Below are 13,191 nucleotides of genomic sequence, written 5' to 3' on the forward strand. Positions count from 1 at the left end.
AAGAAGCAATTGGAGCCTCCGCACGGAGACAGTCACAGCAGAAAGAGTAGTCAAGGAGGAGGGGAGGAAGAGAAACACCTGCAGACCCTACTGTATGCCAGACATTGTGCTACGAGCTTCACACATATCTACCCCATTCTAATCTTCACAACTGCCCCATGAAGTGGACACCCGTGTTCCTTTTATAGATGAGGACACTGCTATAGATGAGGACACTGCAGGACTGGGAAGCTCAGTGATTTACCCAGTTGCTCTGAGGCAGAGCCAGGACTCAAATCCATGAGCATGAGGGCTTTTCCCACTCATTCTCCTTTCTGATCATAGAAGCTTAAAGTATATCCAGAAGCCCAGGGAGAAAATGTGTTCAGATGACTTCATTACATAGTGCCCAGTTTTTGCTCTCAAACTCCTGGGACCCAAAAAGAATAGCATGTTCTTCCTCTTCCAAAAACATGTCTTATACTGTTTTCCAACTTACAATTAAAACCTGTGGAGTTCTTTTATTCTTTTCATTTGTATGGGTCTCCTGTCTCCCATCAGATAGAACACTCCAAGATGCCAGGACAGGCTCACGACTTCCCCCCCAACACTGGCCCAACACTCTGCACACAGCAGGTGCTCAGCAAATGCTCTGATGCTGATGCTGACCATCCCTTGCCAGTCTTCTCGGGCTATTCCCTGTTTCCTTAGTCCTTGGACACTTGTATGGTAGGTGACCCGACTCCCTCTGGCTCAGCCAAGGCAAAGCCAAGCCCAGATGAATGAGCCCTCTTGCGAGATGGCAGACAACAGGCAGGTGAATTTGGGTGGAGAGGAAGTTTCATACGAGGAGAGAAGGCAAACCTTCCTTCTCCACGGAGCTTGCTATGAAACAGTCTGCAAACTGGTTGGCTCATGGGCCAAATTCAGCCTATCCATATGTATTGCTTGGCTCACACATGATTTTCATTTGTTAAAACTGTAATTCGTTGCTTTTTTTTTTTTTTGAGACAGAGTCTCGCTCTCTCGCCCAGGCTGGAGTGCAGTGGCGTGATCTCGGCTCACTGCAACCTCCGCCTCGTGGGTTCAAGCAATTCTCCTGCCTCAGCCTCCCGAGTAGCTGGGACTACAGGCACCCGCCACCACGCCTGGCTAACTTTTTGCATTTTTAGTAGAGACAGGTTTTCACTATGTTGGTCAGGCTGGTCTTGAACTCCTGACCTCAGGTGATCCACCCGCCTCGGCCTCCCAAAGTGCTGGGATTACAGGCGTGAACCACTGTGCCCAGACACTATTTTTTAAAAAGTGAGAGATTTCACATAAAAATCTGGATCTCTGTAAGCCGCCCCCTTGAGACAGGCCTGCCCTTTTCATTTCTTCACAGCCCCCACCCCATCCAGCTCTCCAACTGCACCCCCATCCCCTGCAGGCCCCTGCTGGAGACCCCACCTGCCCCCATCCATTCCCACCCCATGTACTCACCAGCACTCAGAGTCGTGAACTCCAGGAAGCGGTATTCATAGGACACATCTATCTTGGTTTCCACCTGAGGCCTCTTCAAAGTTGAATAAATATTCCCAGGCCGTTTTTCATCACGTTTCTCTAACTTGTTCAATCCGCAACCCATTTCAGCAGCTGCTGGCCAAAGGAAAAAGGCGGGGAGGTGATTTTTTTCTGAGATTTTGTCTTTAAACACCCTAGTATAAAAGATGCCGTAATTTTCCTGAAGAATACATGACAGACCTCAGCCCTTATGAAACTGAGAGTATAATTTAATATAGGACCTGAACACAGAGGACTGTGCTCAGTACTCAGGCTGGCTTCTCCTTCTGCTAAGATACTATTACCAGCCGTCCTGAGATTTTTTTAAATGACACCAAAAGCATACCTGTTTTATATCTTTTTTCCCCATCTGAGGAAAATAATACCTCCCACTGCCTCAGTTCCACTATAATCTGTATCCATGAATAAAAAATGGAATCTAAAAAGCAATACGGTGCATTATAGTGTCAGCCCATCTATAAAAAACAAGAGATGTGTCACCTTCACTGTGGTTGCTAACACAGAATAAGTCGTTGTTACAGTTTCCAAACTCCGAGTCCTTTCTACCCTCAACAGTAATTATTTAGACAGGAAATTTATATTCATAAAACATCCTAAAAGTAGATGGTGGTATTTTTATGGGCCTTGTCTGAAAGTCCCCTTTTTCTTCGTTTTTAGACCAAACTGCAGGAAATAATTTTATACTTCCAAGCTCTTAGAGAGTCATCTTAGACCAAAATGAAAACTGACTGAACACTAATAGCAGGGATAGAGCAATTGGAAGCAGAAATCCACGTGTATTACAGCAAAAATCTGTAGTTCCAGTTTGAAAAGAAAATAAAGAAATGTTAAAGTAATGGGCACATTAAGGTGAGCTGAGCTTCCAATCTTCCATGGGATTAAAAGCAATGAAGGCTCTCTGTTTATTTGGGCAGAATGACTTTCACGAAATAGCTTTTCATCCACTCTCCCAACTTCAGCAGAAGAGATTTTGCTTCTGTGTACTAAGGATAAACGATGCTTTCCTCCTCTCTGGGGTACCACTGCTGCCATCAGAACATATTTCACAAAAATATTAACCAGCCAAGAATATCACACACAGAAACCCAGTGACCGCTTCCTTTTAGAGATAAGAATTTCCTTTTGCTTAATTCATTTACAAGGTACCCAGCTTCCTAAGGCAATTTGGCAAGCTCCAGAAAAACAAACTGAACCTCAGAAAAGCAACGAGGGCATGGGGCGGGTGGAGTGGAAGGAGACGGTGTAGCGACAACCAGGCTCTACTTTTCAGTAATTAAAAAAAGTCTGAAAGAATGGATGAGAACAGGAAGGCTTACTTATGCCTTAATAAAGGAACATGAGTATCCAAAGGGCCAGAGCAGACATGATTTATGTGCAATCTGCATGAACTGATTACTTGTAAAATACTCTGTAGTTCTGCAGATGAAACAGCTGATATGTAAAAGGCTGCATATTTAACTGCTGAAAAGCAAGCCGGCTGGCATCCACTGGGACAAAGCAGAAAAGAAATGGACAAGGAAGCTTCTAAGTGTTGGGAACACGTAGCCCGTCAAGATGTGCACTGTTACTCTCTGCAAAGAGCCCAAAGGCTCGCCAAGTCACTCATTCATGCAGATTTACTCATGCCTACTACAGGCAAAGCATTATTAGCGATTCAAACAATGTGGTCTTTGCCCTCAAGGAGGTTAGGCTACTACAAGAGGGAGGACATTCAAGCTATAACACAAGATGGGAAAATGGCAGGGACCTGGATTGGGTATTTGAGATGGGCTTTGCTGGACAGATCCCAAATTTGATGACGTAGAGATGGAGGCACAGCAAGAGCAAAGGCATGGAGGCAGGAAGCTGCCCTACCTGAAGGGAAAGGGCAGGCAGTGTGGTTTGGCAGGCCAGAGAGGCAGCGTGGGGTTTAGGGTGTCAGAGATCCCACCACTAGCCCATATGGTGCCTTTGTGAGAATTCGAAAAAGGTGCCCCCTCTTCTGAGGAATGCAGCCCTGTCCCAGCCATGTCTTACTGAGCACAGCAAGGTCTGGATTTAAGCCCCTGCATCCCCCCTTGGGAACAATCTTTATAACTGTATGTGGCAGTGCTGCTTCAGTAGGGGGGAAGTTAAGCAAAATTGATTATGATTAGTTAGCCATGTAAACAAATATGGGGGTGGAGGCAAAGATTTCTTAAAGAGGACACAAAAAGCTCTAACTACAAAAGAAAATTTTGACAATGTGGGCTATATTAAGATTTAAAACTTCTGTTCCTCAAAACCCACATTAAAGAGTGAAAAGGCAATCCAGAGACTGAAATAAGCTATTTGCAATACATTTGTCAAGTGGTGCACTGGTAAACCAGCTCTCCAAGAAAGAGAGGAAGCCCCGATTTGTAGTTTGCCTATTTCTGTGGTGTAAACACACCCACCATGGCAGCTTTCAAGCTGCCAAACATGATGCCACAGAAGGCAGAGTCAGGAAGAGATGCTAAAATCAGCTCTCAAAAGCCAGTGTGTGTTGGCTCCTGCACACTAATGCATTCATGCAACAAAGGACTCACATCCACCATGAATCAAAGAGCGCCTAACAAATTGATAAGGAAAAGATACACTACCCAACAGCAAACAGGTGAAATGCCCCAACAAACACCCATGAGGATATGCAAATGGCCAAGGAACATAAGAGAAGAAGCTCAACTTCATGACTCATCAGGGAAATGAAGGGAAGACCACAGTGAGATTTAACAGGCATCTACCAGAATAGCTCGACATTTTAAAAACTGATAATACCAAATGTTGGCAAGGATAAGAAGCAAATGAAATTCCCCTACACTGATGGTGAGAGTGTGAATTGGTACAACCACCTTGGAAAACTGACAATATGTTGGAAAGCTGAACGCATGCCTATCCTGTGACCCGGAAATTCCTCTCCTGGGTATATACCAACAGAAATGTGTACATATGGGCATCGAAAGACACGTATGAGAAAGCTAACAGTAGCATTACTCATACCAGCCCCATCCTGGAAACCGCCCAAACACCTTCCAGGAGAATAGATGAATACATTATGGTATATTCACACAATGAAATATTATAAAGCAACGAAAACATGGAACCTAGGATTACACACTACATTAATGAATCTCAAAAATCAAAAAGGAGTGGGGGTGGGGGCAGCCAGACACAAAAAGTACATTCTTTCTTACTCCCGTTATACAGAGTTCCAAAACAGGCAACACTCATCTCCAGTGTTAGAAGCTGGGGTGCCAGTTACCCTTGGGAGAACAGTGACTGCATAGAGGATGAGGGGGCTTCTAGGGTACCAGCTTTGCTGTTTCTTGATCTGGGTGTCAGTTTGTGACGATTCACTGGGCCACTGAGCAGTCTCTGTATTGATTTGTGTGCTTTCCCATACTTACACTAAAACGTTCAAAAATAATAAACAAATCTGTGACCTTACAAATGCACAGATACATCTCCAACAATAACGTGAGGATGGAATAAAGGCAAAACACAAAATCATCTACGTACTGGGTCTCAATTCTTCTGAATAAAAACTGAAGCAATATTTACAGTAGGCATGTTCATCTGATGCTAGCTTATCCAATAAAGCCACTGTGTATACATTACAGAGTTCTGAGAAGGCGAAAGGACTCTTCTCTCTATCAGGCTGGTGGCAGCTTCTAATGGGTAGCGGCAGGTTCTCCCTACTGGGCCCTGCTGGAGACTTTGATGGGACCAAGGCTGAATGAGGAGCGGATAGGCTGGCAAGCAAGGGAAGGCTCTCATGCCCACCCTGCTGCATACTCAGGCAGACCTGCCTTGCTCTGGAAGGCAAGGTGTTTGAAGACCTCCAAGAAGGAGCTTGTTCCTCAAAAATCCTCCCACTTTTGCTACCTTATTCTGTAAATTCTCATATTAGAGGTTCATTCCTTTGAAATCAGAATTACCTTTCCTAAGTATCTGCTTTTAAATGACAAATATCTCCATGGGAAGGACAAGAAACTAAGCTCCTGGTAGCCACTACCACTTTAGTTTGATTTTATTTTGTCTATAATTTTTAATCTATATTTAGTTTCTTTGATAAAGGACAGGTTCCCTGATAGCAGAAAGGAGAGGGTTACCAGGATGAGAAGAAAGGTTTGGAAAGGGTTGGGGTGGGGATCAGAAGAGTACCAAGAAGCATTAGAAAACTCTTGTGATTCACAAGAGTTTAAAGTTTCAATCAGACTCCCAACCTTGAGGCTTCTGCCCCAGCTCATCCCAAAGGGCATTGTGCTTGATATCACAGGACATAAAGGGGCTCTGGGCAAATCATCCATGTGATCAGACACAGAAAAGATAAAGAGTATGTTACATTAAACCAAATTTGGCTTGACGATGCCTCCATACTTGAGTCATTACATAACGACTGCAACTTAGTTTAGTAGGTAAACTATATAAAAGCCTAACTTAGGATGTAAACTTCTGTAACAAATAGCTGAGTCTTAGCCAATCACAGCAGCAGAATGCAGTCAATCACAGGCAGTGAATTAATGTAACCAAGCCAGCTGTCTCTGTACCTCACTTCTCTTTTCTGTACACAAAACACTGCCAGGATGTGTTTCAGGCAGGTCACTGAACCTGTTCTGGTTCTGAGGCTGCCCAATTTATGAAGTTTTCTTTGCTCATTCAAACTCTGTTAAATTTAATTTGTATCAAGTTTTTCTTTTAATAAATACCAGCCAGCAGCAAAACTGTAATATCATTGAATCCTTGAATCTCAAATTTTAGAGACTGATTTCTCTGGAGTGCGTGCAACCCTGGCTAAGCAACTGTTTCTAAAGCACAGCCCTCTTTGGAAAGGGAGACACAGGAAGTAGTTGCTGGCCATCAAAACCTTAGTGTGAATTAGTTCCTCCTACTCTTTTGTGTAGAGGCAGCTAGCCTGCTCCCTGCTGCCACACCGGCATTCCTTTCATTTCGCCCTGGATTCTTCCACCAACTCCCACCCCTGTCAAAATAGGAAAGACTTTTACATCATTTCAAAAATGTCTATACCATGCTCAAAACAAGTCAGAAAAATCTAGCTTATAAAAAGTAGGAAAAATCAGCTGTAACAGTGACTTGCACACTATTGTAGAGTTTTGTAGACTATATTATTTACCATGTGACATTCCCAAACCATGCTCACATTAGAATCCTGCAAGAGGATGGAGGCAAAAGATGGGTATGTTGCTTTTGAGGGCAGTGGGAGGGAAGGCAGAGGAAAAGGTCTAAGGAATAGTACTGTCAGATGCAGACAGAAGACACAGGTGTGCTGCACATTCCCGCACACAGACATTCAGGGAGTGTCTCAGTAGAAGGACATCTCTCACATGGGTCAAAGTCTCTAGTAAGGTGGAAGGTAAATGGTAAGTAGGATGGTTTTTAAATGTGGCTCCAAAATCCACTGACATTCCTCCTATTGAGCCTATTGAGAGGTGAGGTCTATGTCAATTACCCTGAATCTGGGCTCCAGGATGGCTTGACCAATAGAATATGACGGAATAACACAGTTCCAGTTTCTGGACCCAGCTTTAAGAAACTTGAGAGCATTTACTCCCTGACTTTTGGGGTGCCTGCTCGTGGAATCCAGCCACCATGCCATGAGGAAGCTCAAGTAGCCCCAAAGAGGGGCCCATGTGGAGAGGAACCGACAGCCAGGACCAACTTGCTGGCCATCTTGCCAGCAGGCCATGCTGGAAGTAGAGCTTCTGCCTCAGTCAAGCTGCTGATGCCATGTTAAGCAAAGACAAGCTGTTTCACCAAGCCCTGCCAAAGCTGCAGATTCCTGAGCAAAATAAGCTACTGTTGTTGTTTTAAGCTTCTAAGTTTTGGAGTGGTTCATTTATACCATAAGCAACTTATATACCAAGTCTGCTCGAAATGACCATGGCCTGCCGCCTCCTTGGCACCTGCTGAAGTTGGCCTGCTTTTAAGGTCCCTGTTACAGCCATTCACCCTTTGAAGGGCATTTGGGTTGTTTCTGGCACTGGCTGATTATGAATGAAGTGGCTATAAACATTTGTGTAGAGGTTTTTATATGGACATAAGTTTTCACTTCTCTAGGGTAAATACCTAAGAGTGGGGTTGTTGGGTTATATGATAAGTGCAGGAGCCCTGTTAATGAAAAAATGCTTCTCTTTACACATGTAGGATGTCCAGATACTGCCGCCATGAAAAGTGTATGGAAAGTGAGATCTCTCAAAGATCAGCTAGCCCCTGCTCAACTGAGGCATCAGCCCACTAGGTGGAATCATGCCCAGCGGTGCTATTCACTGACTTTTTCTCTGGTTGTTGCTTGTTTTTGTAAAAAACACATGCTAAAAGTCACCTGTGTCTAGTGAGACTCCCCCAGTACTTCATCTATGCTCCATCCTGCTCCCACAGCTCCACCCTTCCAAATTCCTATGCTCACCTCACACTGACACCTAATGTCAATCAGATTACCTATTTTATGTGTGAGTTCATTGTTGGATCAGCTTTGATTGACAGGTGTCCAGGCATTTGTTTCTCTTTTTATATTTTGTTTTCTCAGCAGACATCCCTGAAACTATGTGTATGGGTCTCCCGAGCATCAAGGTACCAAGAAAAACTTTCCAAGAAGTCTTCAAAGGTAGAGGAAATGGAAGAGGTCTTTCCCCATTTCTATGGTGAAACAGTGGGGAAATAATCAAAGCATATATGCAGTTCCCTAGCAGAAATTGGTAAGGGTAATTAGGAACTGGATGCTTTCTAAAGAGGAAAATAAAGTAATCAGAAGAAGGTTCCGAGACCCGAACTGCAAGAAGAAGATGACAGACATTGCAAATGATCTGGAAACAAAGATCCCTTGAATGGTGATCTTCTGGAAAAAATTTTGGCTGAATCAAACCTTAAGTGGGATGTCTCTTTGGTAAGCGGTGGATCAGCTTCTTACAGGAGCTATCAGTTCCATGAGGGAGGGAAATTATGTTCCAAATTCATTCATCCATCCATTCATTCAACACACATTTATTGAGGTCTGCTTTGAGTCAGGCACTTGGTTAGGAAACACTAAAACTGGGAAGGCCAGGCCCTGCCCTCAGGGAGATCACAGAGACAATGACGAGATACCCATGGTGCAGTATGGCTGACTGTTCGGGAAGTCTGGACAGAATGCGGGAGCATTCGGAACAAATCGCTGTTATATAAAACAGAGATGGGTGTGGTGCTGTGTACCTGTCATCCCAGCTACTTGGGAGGCCGAGGTGAGAGAGTCTTTTGAACCCAGGATTGCGAGGCTGCAGTGAACTCTGATCGCACCACCGCACTGCAGGCTGAGTGACAGAGCAAGACTTGTCTGTAACAAAACACACACACGCACACACACACAAACACAGCACAGCGCCAAATACTTGGCTCCAGAAGAAGCTGACCAGCAATGCGGCACAATGTCCTGTGTCATTTTAAATGTTGAAATGTTTAAATTATTATTTTAAAAGTATCCTAATTTGTTTCTGAAATGCTTCCCACGATGCCCATAAAAAGACTGGAAAACCACTTCAAAAGGATCACCTTCTTAAAAGACTATTTTTCAGCTATAACGTAGAAAAGGCTTAGTTTAAAAGTTCATTTTTACTATCAACTAGCATGCATGCATTTAAATAATGGGGGCAATAAATGCAGTTATATTTTCAAATACAAATTAGCTTCATTAAGAGTAAGCCCTCATTTGCCACACTTGCTGCTAATCTAAGGCAGCCTGTAAAGCTAATTTTAACAAATGCCAACAGCTCGTGACAAGCAACCAGAGATGGGGCAATTATATGCAATGATGCTGGATCAGCTGGCAACCCCATTTTTTATCTCTACACTCAAATTCTGTATTTGAAGACGCAAGCATGTTTATTACTTCATTCAGTCATCCAAAGTAAGAACTGATCATCCAAATTAAAAAGTCTTTACATGATAACGACATCTCTCTAGATCCAGAAATATAAATTAAACTTAAAAGTTCAGTAGAGTATTCAGATGGTGTCAGACTTTTTGCTGTCCTGCAACAGAGTCTAAGAAACCCTAGGAAAACTAAAATGTACCCGTCGAAAGTGTTCCTGATCCAATGCCAGATGTAAAGAACAATCTATATCAAACTGTATTAACGGTTTATATGGTACCACTTTTTAAAAGTGCCTGTGTATTTGTTTATAAAATCCATACTTTTGAAAAACTGGCAGTTCATAAACCACCTGTTAGCAGAACTTTTTTCTGAGTCATGACACTATGGGCTACATTTTCAAGTTTTCTTTGTTGAGCATGCATTATTTTCATGGTTGAAAACAATAAGAACACTTTGGGAGGCCAAGGCAGGTGAATCACTTGAGCCCAGGAGTTCAAGACTAGCCTGGGCAACATGGCAAGACTCTGTCTCTACAAAAAAATTTAAAAAAGAAATTAGCTGGACATGGCAGGTCCCAGCTACTCGGGAGGCTGAAGAGGGAACATTGCTTGAGCCTAGGATGTTGAGGCTGCAGTGAGCCATGATCTCGCCACTGCATGATTGTGCCACTGCACGCTACTGCCCAGCCTGGGCAACGGAGTGAGACCTTGTCTCAAAAAAAAAAAAAAAAGAAAGAAAGAAAAGAAAAGAAAACAATAAGGATATCACAGCCAGCCTCCAGGACGACCCTCAGTGATCCTCCTGGTATTCACACCCTTGTGTGGTCCCCTCCCACAGTGAATAGGGCTGACCTGTGTAACCAGAAGGATATGGTGGAAATGAGTGTGATTTCCCAGGCTACTTTATAGGAAACATTGTGGGTTCTACCTCGCTCTCCTAGATCTCTCGTTCTGGGGGAAGCCAGCTGCCATGTTGTGAGGACACTCTATCAGCAGGATGAAGTTCCACTGCAGGGCAACGAGGCCTCCTGCCAACAGTCAGCACTAACTCAGCACCCATGTGGAAGTAGATCCTACAGCCTTCAGCCCGGCCAACATCCTCACTGCAACCTCATGAGAGACCCTAAGTCAGAAGCACTCAGTTAGGCCATTTCTGGATTCCCGACTCAGAGAAACCATGCAAGATAACATGTTTGTTGTTTTAAGCCTCCAGGTTTTAGGGCAATTTACCACCCATCAATAGATAATTAATCCAGGCAGTTCATGTTAACAGAAGTCTTGCTCCTATATGAGAAGTGGCATTGTGGAGTGGTTGAGAGCTGACTCTTCAGCGGCCAAGTTTTGGTGTAATTTGTTACACAATAAAAGATACCTAATAGGAGTGGTGTTTGCATTATAAGAAGAAAACACTTGCTTACCCCCACTCCTCCAACTCCCACACCTACCACCATCTCAGTCTGTCTCAGGAGGGGTCTGAACCTGAGTCCATCTCTGCTCTGCTGCTCTCCAGCCACCCTTCGCTAAAAATAGCTCCCACTCAGAACCTGCTACTCAACATGTGGACCTCAGACCAGCAGCAGCATCCAGGATCTTGTTAAAAATGCAGGATCCCAGGCCCCATCCCAGACCTGCTGAATCAGAATCTGTATTTGAGCAATAAATGATCCCTTAAAGTTTGACTCACAGTACAGTTTGAGAAACCCTGAGCTGTGGCAGTGGCTCTTAATCTTGACTGCACTTTGGAACCATCTGGAGAGCTGTTAAAAGCCCTGATGCTCAGGCATTTAGGGGTGGGGCCAGAGCACCATTATTTTTAAAACCCCCAAGTGATGCTAACATGCAGCCAGGGTTGAGCATCAGTGCTCTAGGAGCAAACCCAGTCTTTTCCCACTCCTAGCCCTCTCCAATCTCCTAATAGCCAGGACTCAGCAGGGCCCAGGATCTCTCCTACACCCTCACCTCCAGGACTGAGAACCACAGTTCAGAGCTCAGCCATACGGATCTGCTTAGTTCCACATCCCTCAATCTCTTGAATCTCTTTCTACCTCAGACACCCCTTCCCAGTCTCCTCTGCCATCCTCCCAGGCAAGCACAGGCACCTCCTACATTTCTGTCCTCCTCCATCCTCTTGCCTCACTTTTCCAAAATTATTTTAATTATAAACCACTTCAAACATATGGAAAAGTACAGAAAATGAGATGTCCATGGATCCACCACCTGGATTTCACAAGTGCTTACATTTTTACCTTATTTGCTTCAGATAGTTTATTTTTGGATAAATAGACATCTTGGACACAGTCCTCATGCCATTCCCTGTCTCCCTATCTTTCTATCCCTGCGTGTACTCTTTTACAATCTATATATAACACCCAGAACAACATATGGCAGAGATTCTGAGGATTTCTCCGTTCACAGTGCCCTTAGTTTCTCTGTACATTTTTTAATGGCATGCCCTAGACTAAAAAAAAAATACCCAATAGTTCGTTTTATTAAGTAGTTAGGTCCAAACAACTTAATACTTATTCACAGCCTAACAACAGCAGCCTTTCAGAAAAATAGCACACATAAACTGAAAGAAGAAATATTTTTTCTTTCATTCTTAACTAACCACAATTACTTGCTAATGGGATGTGTGCATCTGTTGGACACTGAGCAACTTCTCAAAACTTGGAACCACACTGAACACCACCACCCTCATTTTCAGTTCCACACTGATTTTCTTAGCAACTACCCAAAATGTAGCTTGTAAAGATATGACATCATCAAGAGTAATATGGTACTGTCAGATGTTGATATTGTGAAGTGCCTCAAGCTAGTAGTTAGCGTGGTATCTGACAGATGTTAAGTATTGCTGCATTTCCCTCAAAGATGTGAAATATCCCTTGGCCACCCTGTGCCTTTGCTGCAGTGCCTTGCGGTATCTTAGCACAGAATTTGGGAACCACCAATACATAGTATTATGTATGCTCAAAAAAGTTACTTACATGCTATTGTCTCTCCCTTAGCACTCACACTCCCTCTCTTGCCCTAACTTGACCTGCTCCAGGCAAGAGCTCCCCAGTTCCCTTCCCAGCCTGCCTGTCTTCTCTCCAGCTCCAGGCAGACATCTCCAAGAACTGTTTCAACATCTCCACCTGGAACTTTCTCTCTTCACCTGAGACTTTCTCAGCACTTCTGGAAGAATATGCCCCACAGAATGCAGCACCTTGCCCAACAAGCTTGCTCTTCCTCCTGCATTTCTCGTCTCTGGGTGGTACCACTGCCCTCCCAACATCCAGGCCCAAAACCCCAGTATCAGCCTGCTCCCGCCACCATCCTCACCCTGACATTGGCCCATCCAGAGCTGGTGGATGCTATCCATTCCTCCACTTTATTCTCCAAACCAATCTGCCATCGCAACAGCTACCAACGCTTTCCTGGAATCTGCCTCCCCCTCATCCATCTAATTCCTATCTCCAGCTTTTCCCACATTAACCATTTTACACCACACAAGTGGCTCAAAGAGCATAATCACATCTGCTGTGCAGCTTGGAGTCCTCAGCCTCAATCTCCCTCCATCCTCCCTCCTTTCCAGTCCTACCTCCCATTGTTTCCTTTCACAGTTGACCCTAGAGTGAAGTCAGGCTAAGCTACTGCAATCTTTTGTACACCCTCAGAACTCTCCAGGCACCACCCTTTTCCTCCAGTGGACCTCCACCTGACATTCCTTTCCCGTACCTCTCATCTTCTCTATTAGTCAGGGTTCTCCAGAGAAACAAAACCAGTCAGATGTGTGTGTGTGTGTAC

General features: G+C 44.2%; 1 protein-coding gene across 8 annotated transcripts in view, besides 3 other annotated features; it reads right to left on the reverse strand.

The window, feature by feature from the left end:
- RFTN1 (raftlin, lipid raft linker 1) overlaps window positions 1–13,191 on the reverse strand; it is a 197,855-nt gene that overhangs the window by 176,419 nt on the left and 8,245 nt on the right. For 4 of the 8 annotated variants that reach the window (XM_017006007.3, NM_015150.2, XM_011533530.2 and 1 more), the window contains exon 2: window positions 1,462–1,614. In XM_017006007.3, coding sequence (XP_016861496.1) covers window positions 1,462–1,606 — 145 coding nt within the window. In that variant the 5' untranslated portion in view covers window positions 1,607–1,614. Of the gene's footprint in view, window positions 1–1,461; window positions 1,618–13,191 lie in introns of all 8 variants that reach the window. The other 4 variants (XM_047447783.1, XM_005264985.2, XM_047447780.1 and 1 more) reach the window with 1 other exon arrangement.
- Window positions 3,896–4,025: an enhancer, noted in NCBI's record as "active region_19546". NCBI's record gives its function as "activates an Ori minimal core promoter by ATAC-STARR-seq in GM12878 lymphoblastoid cells {active_cell/tissue: GM12878}" and the evidence as "EXISTENCE:reporter gene assay evidence [ECO:0000049][PMID:35858748]".
- Window positions 4,046–4,215: an enhancer, noted in NCBI's record as "active region_19547". NCBI's record gives its function as "activates an Ori minimal core promoter by ATAC-STARR-seq in GM12878 lymphoblastoid cells {active_cell/tissue: GM12878}" and the evidence as "EXISTENCE:reporter gene assay evidence [ECO:0000049][PMID:35858748]".
- Window positions 6,149–6,650: an enhancer, noted in NCBI's record as "NANOG hESC enhancer chr3:16539919-16540420 (GRCh37/hg19 assembly coordinates)". NCBI's record gives its function as "activates a minimal SCP1, AML or CMV promoter by ChIP-STARR-seq in primed H9 embryonic stem cells {active_cell/tissue: H9 hESC(primed)}" and the evidence as "EXISTENCE:reporter gene assay evidence [ECO:0000049][PMID:30033119]".

This window comes from Homo sapiens, chromosome 3 (assembly GCF_000001405.40).
Source record: "Homo sapiens chromosome 3, GRCh38.p14 Primary Assembly".
NCBI classification, from domain to species: Eukaryota; Metazoa; Chordata; class Mammalia; order Primates; family Hominidae; genus Homo; species Homo sapiens.